General features: G+C 42.6%; 2 annotated features.

The window, feature by feature from the left end:
* Positions 1509-2038: an enhancer, noted in NCBI's record as "H3K4me1 hESC enhancer chr4:83506651-83507180 (GRCh37/hg19 assembly coordinates)". NCBI's record gives its function as "activates a minimal SCP1, AML or CMV promoter by ChIP-STARR-seq in naive H9 embryonic stem cells {active_cell/tissue: H9 hESC(naive)}" and the evidence as "EXISTENCE:reporter gene assay evidence [ECO:0000049][PMID:30033119]".
* Positions 2747-3041: a silencer, noted in NCBI's record as "tiled region #8782; K562 Repressive non-DNase unmatched - State 21:Repr". NCBI's record gives its function as "represses a minimal TATA promoter and a strong SV40 promoter by Sharpr-MPRA in K562 cells {active_cell/tissue: K562}" and the evidence as "EXISTENCE:reporter gene assay evidence [ECO:0000049][PMID:27701403]".

The raw sequence follows: 15249 nt of genomic DNA on the forward strand, positions 1-15249 counted from the left end.
ACAAAGAGAAAGAATTAAGTAAACACGAAGCCATCCTTACAGGGTTAACAGGAATTCTGGACAGAAATAGAGTTATAATTAAGCATTAATCAGGTTGCACTTTGGCCCATTTCTTTGTAAACAGAAGTCGTGTAGCACCAGATACCATTCGTATCCCTGTCATTCCTACAGATGGGATTTCCGACATTAGAATTACTTAAGGCTTTTGTTTAAAATAGACAGGCTCTCTGACACTAGACTCATAAGACCTTTGTTTAAGAATTGCTTAAGATGATTCTCAGCTCCCAAATTGCAGTGAAACAGCTGATGCCAACAAGTTTGAAGACCCCCACAGAGGACTGGAATCAGCATGAGAATACAGTTTCTGTATCTTCCTGTCCCCTGACTTCACTCTGCACTCTTTGACCGATCAATAATCTCCACACTGTGGTCATCCCAAAACCCTTAAACAGTCTACCATCAAACTCCACAGGGAGACAGATTTGAGGTTTCCTTCTGTCTCCTTGTTTGGCTGCCCTACAATTAAACTTCATTCTCTGCTGCAACCCAGTGTCTCAGCCTATTGACTTGCTGTGTGCATCAGGCAGATAACTTATTACGGTTACAAACATGAAATAAACAAGACCTTTTAAAATAGAATAGAGTGATTTATAGCTCTTTTCTTGTGATGTCTTTGTCTGGTTTTGGTATCATGGGTAATACTGGTCTTGAAAAAGGAATTGAACTAAGTCGTTTTTAACAACTTTATAATACTCCATAATTTGCCAGCAAAACCCCCTCCCCTCCACCACCTCTGCCAACACCACACACACACACACACACACACACACACACACACTCACTCACTTTGGGACTGCCACAGGCCCCAGGCTGCTGAAGATTGAAGTGAGATGAGTAGAACCAATTGGTGCTAAGAAGAAAGTGGTCCTCAGAGTTACACTGAGTGAAGAATGTGGGCTGTGAAGAGGAGGGCCTCTGCTCTGCCCCTCTTAGTAGCCTGTTATGTTCGTGCCCTTCCTGACACTTAAGGTTGGCACTCAGTGATTATTGAATTGCAAAGTACTCCCCTCTTCCCGCTTCAGAAAGCTGGGTCAGCCTCCTGGTTAACAAAGCCCTATCTTATCTCCCCAACTGCCTAAACTATTTGCTTCCTATTCCTGCCCCTTTCTTCTACAAGGCTGCCTGTGCCTTCATTTGAAACTTGGTAACCTGTAAAAGAAATTAGGCAGGGCAGATAAGCACGGGGTCTGATGCATGCTAAATTCCAAACCTGGGGCCTGTCTCCTAGGACAAAATGAATAAACCTTAGGCTGTTCATTTCTGAAAAACAGGTCCCTGAGAACCAGGCCCTGCAGTCTCAGATCATAGCCATGACTATGTGAGCCTGTCACATTTTTATATGTCACTCAGAACTGCATACCCATACCAAATTGCCTCCCTCACCTTTTGCCCTTTTGAATGCACTAATTGAAAGGTAGGCATCCAGTACTACCTTCTGCAATCCCGGTCCCTGATCTCCACAGATTCAAACTCCAGGTGCCAGCCCTCCAATCCCCGCTCAGACAGCCCTTTCAAGCCCACAGAGCCCTGAGCCTTGGAAAGGCAAGCTGACTCCAACTTTTCCCTGAGAGTTCTGGCTGGACCTTTCCTTGGCTGCCCTTTATTAAAAGTTTTTTTTCGCTATAGTTACAGTACTCGAACGTAACAGAACTGCCCTTGTTCTAAAGTCTTTCCACTGGTTCCATCTGTTCTCCCCCTAATTGTGAGTTAGTGAGACTAATTCCACAAGCACAACTTTGCAAGGGGCCATTTTGCATTGCAAACAGGCATGACAGGCCTTCAAGTACCTAGCAAGAAGAAGGTCCCTGTGGGAAGTCAAGTCAAGCCAGTTCAGTTAAATTCCAACCAGCAACCTCCTGTCAGGGAACTGCGTTAGTTCCAAGAGGGTTCTTGTGCTGTTAACTGATTGTGTCACCTTGAGCCAGCTAAATTCTCTGGGTCTCAGCTGTAAAATTAAAGCCGCAGACCTTAGATACTCTAACAGTGCTCACGGACTATGATTTTAGAGATAGGGTCACCCACGCAGTACGGGACTGAGGCAAGCCACTGTGGGAGCCCCTGTCCTTCAGCATTAATAAGTTTGGACAGATGAAACCAGATGAGAATAACATCAAGAGCAGCCTTGCTTGACTAATTAAAACTTCTAATACTAAACGGGGGAGGGGGGGCATCATGGTTGCCAGGCAACCAGCCTCCATTCTTGTTGGCAGAGGGGTGGAGTTGGCTCAGGTCTCCTTTAGCGGCAGTTTATGGAACCACTCAGTGGCCCTTTTCCTGACCATTGCCTTCCTGTGGAGCTCTAATCAAACCATCTTCACAGGACTGTAGGGACACTCCTGCTTTCTCTGCAACCCTGAAGTTTGCCTACTGAAATAGTGAAACCAATTTTTGGCTCTATAAAAACAGCTCTACTCATATTCCTATTTCTTCATTGAAGTCTATCAACAGACAGTGCCGGCATTCTTCAGTCACCTGAGCTTGCCTTTCCTCTGACCTCTTCATGTGGACGACTCCCTGTAAACAGCCATGGACCTTGTAGACTATCTAGAAGCACTGCATAAAGGTGAAGGCGGGTATCTTGACACCTCTAGGAATGGCGGTGGAATGAAAGGGCAGCCCAAGCCCCAAGTGAGGAGACATAGAACAGTCTGAAATCCTCCACTAAGCCAGCGTAACGGTGGAACACGTGGTCCTTATTAAATACACAAACACACATGCAAATGGCTGCCTGGACTCCTCTCCATTTTCCTTGCCACCACCTCTTTTTCAACCTATTAGTATTTACAGCTGGTCTCCCTGATTAAAAATAAGTGCATTATGCAGACCATGTCTCTCTTTAGTGGGCTCTATTGCATAAGAATACAACCCAAGTGCCTTCGCACCACCTACAGGGTGCTGAGTGCTCTGGGGCCTGAACACCTCTTCAGCCTGGTTGGGGCCCTACTACCCTGGCTCACCATGTTGCAGCAATGTGAGCCTTCTAGACCAGTCTAGAACAGGCCAAACTCTCTTCCTTAAGGTCTTTGCCCAAACTGCCCTCACTGCCTGGGAAGTTCTTCCCTCGGCTGTTTATATGGCAGACTGCCTTTCACCAGTCAGATCTCAGGTTAATTGTTCCTGCCTGCACAACCTAAGACAGTTGCTCCTTCTCTTTTCTGTCTCATCACTATGTTTATTTTCTTCACAGCATTTCTTATAATCTGTCATTACACTGTCTATATATTTGTTGACTTATTTATTATGGTTTCTCCCATCAGAGTACAAGCTCAGCAATATCAGGACGCAGTCTACCTTGCTCATAGATGTCTCCAGGTGTCTAGCTCAAGCCTGGCACATATTCAATATTCAATAAATATGTGTTCAATAAAAGAATGTTGATGAATAAAAGATGTGCCAAGATAATACATTTAAATGTAGTCACATGTGTACATCATACCATCATTCCTGTCATGCTTACTGTGTGCCTGCCACTGTTCCAAGTACTTTCTACAGGTTAACTCATTTAGTTCTCACATAACTCTATGAAGCAGGGTACTAATCATCCCCAGTTTACAGGGAAAGAGGCAGAGGCACAGAGTGGTTAATTAACTCATCTAAGGTCAGACTGTGAGCTGGGTGGATGTATTTGTTTGCCAGGCCTTCCATAACATGATACCATAGATGGCTTAAACAGAAATTTATTTTAAGCGGCAGCTTAAACAGAAATTTATTTTCTCACAGTTCTGGAGGCTGAATGTCCAAGATCAAGGTGCCAACAGGAATGGTTTCCTCTGAGGCCTCTCCTTGGCATGCAGATGGCTGCCCTCTTGCTGCCTCTCCTCATGGCATCCCTCCGTGCACGCACACTCATGCAGATGGCCGCCCTCTTGCTGCCTTTCCTCATGGCCATCCCTCTGAGCATGCACATCCCTGGTGTCTCTGTGTGTCCTATTTCCTCTTCTTATAAGGACACCAGTCAGATTAGATTAGGACCCAGTCTAATGGCTTATTTTCACTTAATCACCTGCTTAAAGGCCTTATCTCCAAACAATCACAGTCTGAGATACTGGGGGTTACAGCTTCAACATACGAATTTGGTGAGGACACAATTCAGTCCATAATAGTGGGACTGGGATTGAATCCTTGGTAGCCTCTCTCCAGAGTCTGTGCATTTAACCATTATGCTATAAAAACCCTGAACAAATTAGAACATATTTAGCACATTATGAGTTTCGCAGTGTGGCAGCCACTTTTAGCTGCCCATTCAATATCCATCTCAGCTCCTCCGTGTTTTTTCTTGCCAACAGAGCCTCACTTTGATTCAGAGAGGCAACGTGACCAGCTCCAGCATTAAAACAATCTTGGTAACTCCGCTCTCATTTGCTATTTATGCACTTTCTCAGGCTTTCTTGCATTTAGGGGTGGGTGCCATGTGCCCTGGTTCTACCCAATAAAAGGTCAGAAGAAGTGAGCTGGGAGACTTACAAAGACAGCAGGAGCTAAGAACTCATTGATACCGTATTTCCTCTAGGCAGGTATGTGGACCTGATCCTGGGGCTGTAACAGCCATCTTGGGACCATGAGAGGAGGTGTGTGAGGAGAACAGGCCAACACACTTGGGATAGCAGACCAGAAACAGGAGGAATGTGAGTCTGGGAATTGCTACTTTTAGACATCTCATTATAAGAAGTCATGAAATATCTCTGCAACTGTTTTTTATAAAGAGCTTTACTGAGGTATAATTATACTTAGGCACCATAAAATTCACTTGTTAAGTGTACAGTTTTAGTAGATTCACTGACTTGTGCAACCATCACAACAATCCAGTTTTAGAACATTTTCTATCACCCCAAAGAGATCTCTCATGCTGGTTTGCTGCAAATCCCTGTTCTCACTCACAGCCTCAGGCAACACTAGTCTGCTTTCTGTCTCTATAGATTTGCCTTTTCTGGACATTTCATAAAGCATCTATTTTTTTTTTTTTTTGGTAGCTTTAAGTATTCCTAACTGTTATTCATGGCATGTGGATATGCAACTGCTGATGGAATCCACATTCAGGCAACAGCAAGAGTGAGGAAAAAATCATGGCCAACAATATGTTATAGTGGAAAGAGCCTCCAGTCCGGGAGAACCAGTTTTGGTCTCAACTATTGTCCTAACAAGCTGTTTACCTTTTGTTTTTTTTAGAGACGGGGACTTGCTCTGTTGCCCAGGCTGGAGTGCAGTGGTATGAACATGGTTCACTGTAGCCTTGAACTACTGAGCTTAAGCAATCCTCCCACCTCGGCCTCCAGAGTAGCTGGGACTACAGGCATGTGACACTATGCTTGGCTAATTGTGTGTGTGTGTGTGTGTGTGTGTGTGTGTGTGTGCGTGCGTGTGTGTTGTGTAGAGACGGAGTCTCACCATGTTGCCCAGGCTAGTCTCCAACTCCTGAGCTCAAGCAATCCACCTGCCTCAGCCTCCCAAGCATTGGAATTACAGGCGTGAGCCACCACGTCTGGCCCCTGTTTGCCCTTTGTAAATTTTTAAACTTCTCTTAGTTGATTTTCCTCATCCATGAAATGAAAAGATCCTAATAAATAATTTTTAAGCTCCCTTCCATCTCTTGGATTCTAAGCTGTTTTTAAAGAAATAAAAGCAGTATTTGAGTTATTTCAGATAAAACACTGTATCATTCAGCAAAAACTTAAGACCACTCCATGCTTCTAAAAATATAAACACTGAGTCATTTTTTAAGGTGTACAATTCTACTAAATAGGATAACTGAGGGTGTTATGAAATGTCTGTCAAACACAGAGATCTGTATTGGTCAGGAAGATTATTATATGCAGAAGAAATGAATAAATTGTTGCAAAAGGGTCATGTTTATTCACCTCTTGTCAGAAGCAAGGGTGAAGAATGCTTAGAACATGTTAGAACAATGTACACATAGAACATGTTTAGAACTTGTTCTATGTATATATATATATTTACACATAGACATGAACACATCGTTTGTAAAAGGGATACTATGAATTGGAGTGTGTTGGGGGACTGCCCATGATTGCAGAGAAATAGGATCATGTTTACTCTTAAAATTCTATTTGTTGCTGTCAATTTTTAAATGGTGTAATAATGGTTTTGTGGCTGCAGATAAAATAGAGTCCTCTGGGGTAATGGAACTGATCTGTACCTTCATCATAATGATGGTACACAAACCTATACACGTGTTAAAATTCATGTGTACACACCGAAAAGGCAGTTTTATGGCATGTTAATTTAACTAACTAAAATTAAAAAAATGCCCTTATCTTTTAGAGATACATATTGAAATATTCATGGATGAAATGATACAGTATCTAGCATTTGCTTCAAAATAATATGGGAAGAAGGAAAGTGTTGGGTACAGATGAAACCAGATTGGCCATGAGTTGGTAATTGTTAAAACCAGGCTCATTATCCTCTCCAGGGGCTCATTATGCTCTTTTCTCTCTTTTTGTGTATGTTCAAAGATTTTCATTATAAAAAGTTAAAAATAAAAAGCACTGGAGAGCAAGACTAAAATTCCTTCCTGCTTGCATGCTTAAAAGAAGCTTATTTTTCATTTCCAGACTGATGGCTCTTTCTAAGGTAAGGAGTTCTCCACATAGGCAAAGCAATAGGAAGAATACAGCATCTCTCTCTATAGTTTATGCACATTTCACGATATAGAAAGGGTTTTCTTCATGTATATGATCAGCTGGGCTGACTACATTTAAAAAATTATCCTTACATCAAATCAGAACTAATAGCTACCATTTGTTGAGCACCTGCTTATGATAGTCATCAAAATAATCCTTCCAAAAAAAGATCTCAAATGTTTGCACCACCGCCTCCCCACCAGAAGATATTATTCTCATTTTACAAAGGAGGAAAGCAAGTCTGAGGGGGACAGGTTAGTAGCTAGTATGTCTCATAAAGTGAAGTTAGAATGCAAATTTAGACCCCCTTCCAGAGCTGTGTTCTTGACCAGCAGGCAGTAGGGCTTCAGAGTGGACACTGTCCTGAGCAGGATGCCTTTTAAAGGTTCTGCACACCCACTCCCCACTTCTCCATGCTTTTCTTCTAGGAGCTGTGATCTTTTTCAGAGGAGTCCCCAAGGGCTACTGAATTTGCTTTGCCCAAGTCTGGAGAGCCAAATGTACCCTGAGTGTACATCTGTCTCCAAAGCCAGTGACTGGCTGGCACAGGAGTACCGAAGTTCAGCTCCCTCGCCTAGACTGAGACAAACTCTGAGGTATAATTACCTCTCCAGAGCTTCCCTGGGGGGATCAGGCTGCAGCAGAAGCTTCACCTGAAATCACACCCATGCTCAGCTTTTCCCATTTCCCTGTCCTGCTTCCCACACTCTCTTACTGGTTTCTCTTGGGAGTATTTTCTTAGTAAGTCACTTGCCCATGAGCCCCTGTCTCAGGGACTGTTTCTTGGGAGCCCAAACAAAGACATTTTTTTTTCCTATTTAGATGCAGATTGGTTGCTAACTAGTCTTATTATTATTCCGTACCTAGGAAGCATTTGTGAGAATGTTTATGTGTTTTTATATATGTAAGCTCATATATACTTATTTTTTTGTATACAGTTACTGTAGTGACTGGAAATAGAAATGTCAAAGGAGGGACAAATATGATGTCTATGAAGATCACACTGAGCCATAATAAGGATCTGGAGAATGTGCTCGTCCCTGTGTCCACTGGAGTACTCTAGTAGTACAGCCATATCACAATGGGCTTCCAGGTGCTATCCAAATACTGGCTGCTGAGCAAACACTGCTTTAACCCTTGAAGGTGGGGATGAGGGTTAGGAAGGGGGCCTGTTACGTGGGAAGAGGAAAGAAAGAATACGTTTTAATAAACGTAAAACCGGGTCTTCAAGGCTTCAAGAACAAGACAATGCTTTCCAATAAGCCCCTTGCCAGAAAGAAGGCATTACATTTACAGAGGACAGAGCCCAGCTGTGCCCATCCTCAGTGAGAAAGGGATTTCAGTTTGTAAAGGAGTCTCTTAATTGTGGCGTATTAGCCACAGAAGAGAGTCTGGTTCTGTAGCTGAATTGGGTGAATTTATAGCTCAGTTGCATGACTTTTGAGCTGTGTGACTCTGGTACATTATTTTACATCTTTGAGCTTCTATTTCTTACTCTATAAAACAAGACAATAATAAGTACTTCACATTGTTATCAAGAGAATTGTATTAGATACATAAACTCTTAGAACATGATAAGAATTCAATAAGTGATCATTATTACAATTAGGGGAACTTCAAATTTCCTTCTTTGCATGTCTCTAGTAATGACATTGGGGCCAGAGAGATTGCAAGGAAGCTGGTATACCCATATGTTGCTGGGGCAGGGAACATACACATCTTTTAAAAAGAAATATAGCAAACCAAACACCCTCCCAGACAAGTTAGTCTGGGCTTTATAGCAATTTTCTCTTACCTATTTTATAGTTTACCATGGTATATTCTAATTTATTTGTCACTATATCTCTCTCCATCACCAAGAAGAGAGCTTTTTGAGGGCCAGGACACTATTTTTGTCATTGTGTCTCCAGCACTTAGCAGCTGAAGCAGTAGATGCCCAGTTATTGTTGTTGAATAAAAGCGGAGCCTTAAGCCAGTATCAGCGCTTGGACAGAATTATTCTAAAAGAACCAAGCTAAAAGAAAAGAAGAATTTATGCAAACATGCCTAATGCAACCATATTTGTAATAGAAGAAAGAAAGGGAGAGAAGAAGAAAGAAAAAGAAAGAGAGGAAGAGAGAAAGAGAGAAAGAAAGGAAGGAAGGAAAGAAGGAAGAAAAGAAGGAAAGAAGGAAGGAAGGAGAGAGAAAGAAAGAGAGAAAAGAGTAAAAGAAAGACCAAATTAAGAAAGATGCCCATAGCAGGAGAATTTAAGTAATTTAATACATATCTAATCAATGATGATTTTACAGAGCCATTAAAACTAAGAAAGTTTCTGTAGCAACATGGGGGAAATAATTACGATGAATTCTTAAAGAAAAATGAGAGAAAGATTTTTATTTGAATAATGACTACAACCCTGTAAAAGTTACATGAATGTATATAAGCAGAGACAAGCGGGGGATGTGGACTTTGAAAATAGGTTATTTTATTGCAGTGATAACACTGTGGATAAATTTTTTTAAAATTTAGCTTTCCATTAGTGTTGCTATTATATTTGTGTGGGGGAAGTTAAGTAACATTTTTAAATAAAAGAGAGTGGCCAATCTTTCACTGCAGGGCTATGTCTAGTTTTTACAGAGCAATGGCCTCCCAAGATCCCTTCCAGCCCAGGCGTCTGGCATTTACCAGCTTCTAGTACAGGGCTCTGAGACTCCCAGAACAGCGCAGAAGCAATTGCTTATGCTTAACGTCTATGCTGTCAAAATCCAATGGAAAAATAAGAGCCACACTAAAGCAGAATCAATATAAGTTGTGAAAGTGTTGACCCCTAACTCTAAAAGTACTTTCTAAACATTTACTGAATATCTGCTATACGCCAGTCACTCTTCTAAAGGCTAAGGATACAAAAGACGAGTAGTACAAAGTTCTTGCCCTCGAGGAAGTTCAAAGCCCAATAAGGAAAGGAGACAGCAAATAATCAGCTACAGTGTAATATGGTCAGTGCTAAGACAGAGCATGGAGCAGGTGCTGTGGGATGTTAATTAGGGCATGTTTGGTGCAAAGAATAAGAATTACTTCAAACTGGCTGGAATCAAGGAGGGCTTATTATAAGGATGTAGGAAAATGTCGTGGAATTCAAGGCAGGAAGTGCATTCTGGCCTCACAAGACCCAGGAGCTGGAACCTGAAATATCAGAAACCAGAGTAGCTAGTAGTCTGTCTCTATCTCCCCATCTTTCTCATTCCTTCTGGGGGTAATGGAGTCTTTTGTATCCATTTGCTTTGGCAGCTCTATTCCTCTCTCTCTTTCCAGATTAGTCCCATTGCTCTGTTTTTATGAGGCTCACCTTGGCTTCCCCCAAAAGGGCATCAAGCTCCAGCCTCTACATCATGCTCAGATCCACCACTTACAGCTAATTAGACTCGCTGGGTCCCAATTCCAAATTACCGACAAAGATAATCTGATAGGTCAGTCCTGAGTCAGGCCCAAATGTGGTTGGGGGCAGGAGTCATGAAGCCTGCCGCCTGTTTAGCAAGGCCCATGAGCACAGACTTGCTGAGAAGGGGCAACACAAAAGCAGACAGTCTCCTTCACGGGAGAGCAAGGGACTTGACTTTGACTAGGGATGTTGCAGTTAAGAAGGTGGTTTTGAGTTGAGTTTTGGGGTGACAGTGAGGGGTTAGACTAGAATAGGGTGCGAATTTCAAATATAATTAGGAAGTAGAATCAATAGACTTGATTGCATGATAGAAGGAGGGTTGTAAATGGAATTTCAATGTATCACATAATTGCCTTGGCTCATCCTGTTTGCTAAGGAGCTGTTTAAATGTCACTGTCCTTGGACCCATCAGAGTTTTTTCCATAGTCAAACGCGATGAACTCCCACTTACTCAGCAATGGTCCCTTGTATTCATCAGCAATTCCAACTGCAGTAAGAGCAGACTTACAAGAAACAGTCTGATTCCTCAGAGGAATTCGAGACATCCATCTACAGTTTAAGTTTTCTGCTGCATAGCACATTCCAAGTTCACACACACACGCACACACATGCACACACAACAAGCACTTTCATGGAATGATGCATTGTATTTCTGTCTGGCTCTATATATCCTGTGTATTTTGCATAATGTATGGAATAAATTCACCACTCTATTACTTGAAGATAATTATAACTGGCTTATGTGGTATGTTATAGTCTGTGTATAAAAGAAAACATAGCTGATTTATAAACAGTGATTGTATACACATGTATGTCTAAAATCATTTTGGGTTTTTTGGTTTTTTGTTTGTTTTGAGACAGGGTCCCACTCTGTTGCCCAGGCTGAAGTGAAGTGGTGTGATCTTGGCTCACTGCAATCTCTGCCTCCTGGGATCAAGCGATTCTCCTGTCTCCAAGCGATTCTCCTGTCTCAGCCTCCTGAGTAGCTGGGACCGCAAGCACACACCACCATGCCTGGCTAATTTTTGTATTTTTTGGTAGAAATGAGGTTTCACCATATTGGTCAGGCTAGTCTCAAACTCCTGACCTCAGGTGATCCACCCACCTCAGCCTCCCAAAGTGCTGTGATTACAGGTGTGAGCCACTGCACCTGGGCTAAAATCATTTTGTTTTGTTTTGTTTCTTAGCAGAGGAGGTGCCAGTTTACAAATCCTTATTTATAAAGCTTTTTGCACATTAGTTCTTTCCATTCCCATGGCCATCAGCCTAATTCAAGGTGTTACCATCTCATCCTACATTGTTGCAGTAGCTCCTAACTGACCATTCTATCCATGGCCACCAGACTTCACATCGTTAAGCGTCACTTGCATGATGACACTCGCAGCTCACCAACCCTCTGTGTTCCCCTGTTAACTACCAAATAAAGTCCAAGTTCTATGTCCTAGCTTCAGCATCGTTAGAATTTAGTGCCCAACAACCTTGCAAGTTCCTTTGCTACTCATCCATGGTTCAGCTGCATTGAACTATACTTTACCACCAGCTTCCTAAATGCACACAGATCTCTTCAACCCACACAGACCTTTCCTTCTGTCTAGAATAACTATTCTTTTCTCTTCTCCAACTCTCTAGCTGATGCCACTTTTTTCTACTGCATCTTTGCTAATAAACTCAGCATATACTTATAATGTTTTATAAATTATATATATATAATTTTAAAATAGCCTGGCCACAGCTATTTTTTAGTAGGATTTCACCACTGCTCCTGCTCAGCAGTGTTGCTGCTGGCCCCCGTTTTATTGTACATAAATTCTACCCATCCCTTCTTTGTGCCTTTCACACCAGATTCAACATCCTGGGCAGGGGGTCTGGCAGGCTGAATTTAGTTTTTCTGTACATGCCCTGGCTTCTAAGAAAGAGGGAAGGAAATGGAGCCTCTTAGCCTCTGACTTTCCTTGAGGGGGTCAACAGTACCACGCACAATGAAGAATGCTCCTGCAAACAAAAGGTTTATCCAAAAAGACAGATATCAACTGCAACTTCTATTCACCCTTCAAGCCATGACTTTGATGTCACTTTGATGTCACTGTAAGAGGCTGATGTGAACTTCTCTCCTCTCCTTCCAGGAGGAGCCAGGGACTCTCTTTGGGATCCCAGAGCATTCTGGCCATTTCTCTATTAAAACATTATATTGCATTTTAAAATATGTGCTCTATCTTGAAAGTAATGTTCATTTTTGAAAATAGTCAAGTATTAAGTGTAAAGAAGAAAGCAAAAGCCCACTCATAATCCCATCATTAAGATTTGAGTTGTTTATCTTTACTCTTTCTTCTACTATACACATACATAACTTATCATGTACGGAGCTTGGGTCATACTTGTTACATGGCCTTATAATCTTTTTTTTGAGACAGAGTCTAACTCTGTTGCCAGGCTGGAGTGCAGTGGCATGATCTTGGCTCACTGCAACCTCCACCTCCAGGGTTCAAATGAGTCTCCTGCCTCAGCCTTTCAAGTAGCTGGGACTACAGGCACGTGCCACCATACCCAGCTAATTTTTGTATTTTTAGTAGAGACAGGGTTTCACCATGTTGGCCAGGATGGTCTTGATCTCTTGACCTTGTGATCTGCTCACCTCGGCCTCCCAAAGTGCTGGGATTACAGGTGTGAGCGAGCCACTGTGCCCGGCCTGATGGCCTTATAATCTTTATGTTCATATTTTTATCTAGAAAGAGGTGGAGGCACTGGTATTTCCAGCTTTGCCTCCCCCTGCTATTAATACCTAGTACCGTGTTTGGCACATGGTTGGCTCTTACTTGCTAAGTCAATGGAAAAGCTCCCAGAGGACAGAAACCACATTTTGAGTCACTTTATATTTGATTTAGGACCTATTATATGATCTTGCACATATTTTAACCTAATGCTTTCAAATGAAATAATTCAAGTCATGTCAATCTTTTAAATGTTAAAGTTTTGGGGTATAGATATGTATTGTGTGTTCTCCTCCCTACACAAATTTAATAGTAAGACCAGGAGTATGAGTTACAGTAGCAGTGACAATGACAATGGCCTTTGTTTCTGCTGTCTTACTAATGAATCACCAGAAACACTGAACCCTCCAAATTTCTCTTTCCCTCCCATTTGGAGAGCCAGACATTGTCTCATTGACAACCTTGAAGTTATACTTCCATAGCCATTTATCGTGACATTCAATGGTTAACTTTTTTCACTGCCCATGTAGAGTATTAGAGATGGCAGCAAATTCTTTGTCACTTTTGTTACTGAGAGATGGAAACTCTTTCTCCACCCCTCCGCTTATGATCTGGGCTTTGGTCAGTAGAATACAGTGGAAGTGATGCTATGCTGGTTCTGAGCCTTGCCATTAAGTGGGACCAGCAGCTTCCTCTTTTTCCCTCTTGGAATCCAGCTTCCATGCTATGAGGGAGCCCAAACAGCCACTTGGAGAGGCCAACAGGGAAGAGAGTCAAGGCCTGGGTCTACCGGCCCCAGCTGGCCAGCCAGGTGAGCACGCCAACTTGAAAGTCAAGTTGTCCCCAGGAGATGCTACATGGAGAAACCTGAATTGTCCAGGCTAACGCAGACCTAACAGCAAAACTGCGACCAAATAAATGGTGGTTTTTTTTTTAAGCCATTAAGTTTTGGAGTAGTTTGTGACATGGTAATACATAACTGAAACAGTTCCCGCAGTTAACCCTGCTTTTCTTCTAGAGGGAGGGGAGAGCTCTCTTGCCTCTAGGGCAAGAGCAGGAAACTTGCTCTTCAGTTTCTAATCTCTTCTGAGTTGGATAAAAGAACTCCTGAGTTCTCCAACTTTTAAATGTTTCGTTCTATAGAATTTCCATTTCTCAACAACTGACCAGGGTTTCTAGAGAGTTCTTAGGGCCTTCGACTTTGCCTTCCCACAGAGTAACCTCTCCAAACACCTAAGGCACTGCCCAAGAAAGTGAAAGAGGGAGGCCTCGATGGTCCCTTCTTGTTTAGGAGTCTTCATCACAGCTTCCTGGAGTTCTTCTTTCCCCCAAAAGATTCATCAGATCTCTGATTCTCAGGTAAGACTCCGCTTGCTCTGCCCTGGTAGACAAAGCTGGCTTCCTCTACATCCATATGTTAGCAACTTGCATGATATCCAGAGTGCCTTATTAACCCCAAGCAAACTTCCTAAACCTTCATTAGCTCATTGTAAAGCAACTCAATATCTCTCTCTTGGTTTTTGCTTTCCAGGCCTCTCAATTTCTTCTGCTGGATGCTTCGACTATCTGCTTTGAGTATCACTCCAGCATCTTAAATCAAGAGCTCTCTTCTGCTTCAGCAGCTCCCACGGTGCAATTTCCTCTTCCAATTCTGAAAAGCTGCAGCAGGATGTGCATTATCAGAGAATCCTGGGGATGGGGAGAACCTGGGGGGAACACTTAAAATGTTCCCCTGACTTCAGGCAGGACTGTGTGCACACCAGAGTGGTAACAAAGAATTTAGGACCTAAAAATAGCTCAGGGAATACTTAACTTTCTATAAGACATCTGGGATTCTCTCCTAATTCCCAATTTACCCCTCTTCTACCCTAATTCTCAAATCTCTAAGGCGGGGACTGAAACACTTATTAAAAACTCTAGGCTGGCTACACTGGCTCATGCCTGTAACCCCAGCACTTTAGGAGGCCGAGGTGGGTGGATCACCTGAGGTCAGGAGTTTGAGACCAGCCTGGCCAACATGGTGAAACCCCGTCTCTACTAAAAACACAAAAATTAGCTGGGCCTGGTGGCGGGTGCCTATAATCCCAGCTACTTGGGAGGCTGAGGCAGGAGAATTGCTTGAACCTGGGAGGCAGAGATTGCAGTGAGCTGAGACCGTGCCACTGCACTCCAGCCTGGGCAACAAGAATGAAACTCCGTCTCAAAACAAAAAACAAAACAAAACAAAACAAAACAAAAAATTCTAGAAAGCTGAATAGGTTCTCTTCACACCTGAGCCTCCTACCAACCCTGGGCTAGGCACACATCGATCTGAAATAAAGGGGTGGTAGTGGGCAGAGTCTTCATGAAACCAGCACCACTGTGAGGGCTTTTAGTTAGGGCAACCAATCCTCCAAATTGGGACACTTTTGAGAATAAA

This window comes from Homo sapiens, chromosome 4, assembly GCF_000001405.40.
Source record: "Homo sapiens chromosome 4, GRCh38.p14 Primary Assembly".
Lineage (NCBI taxonomy): Eukaryota > Metazoa > Chordata > Mammalia > Primates > Hominidae > Homo > Homo sapiens.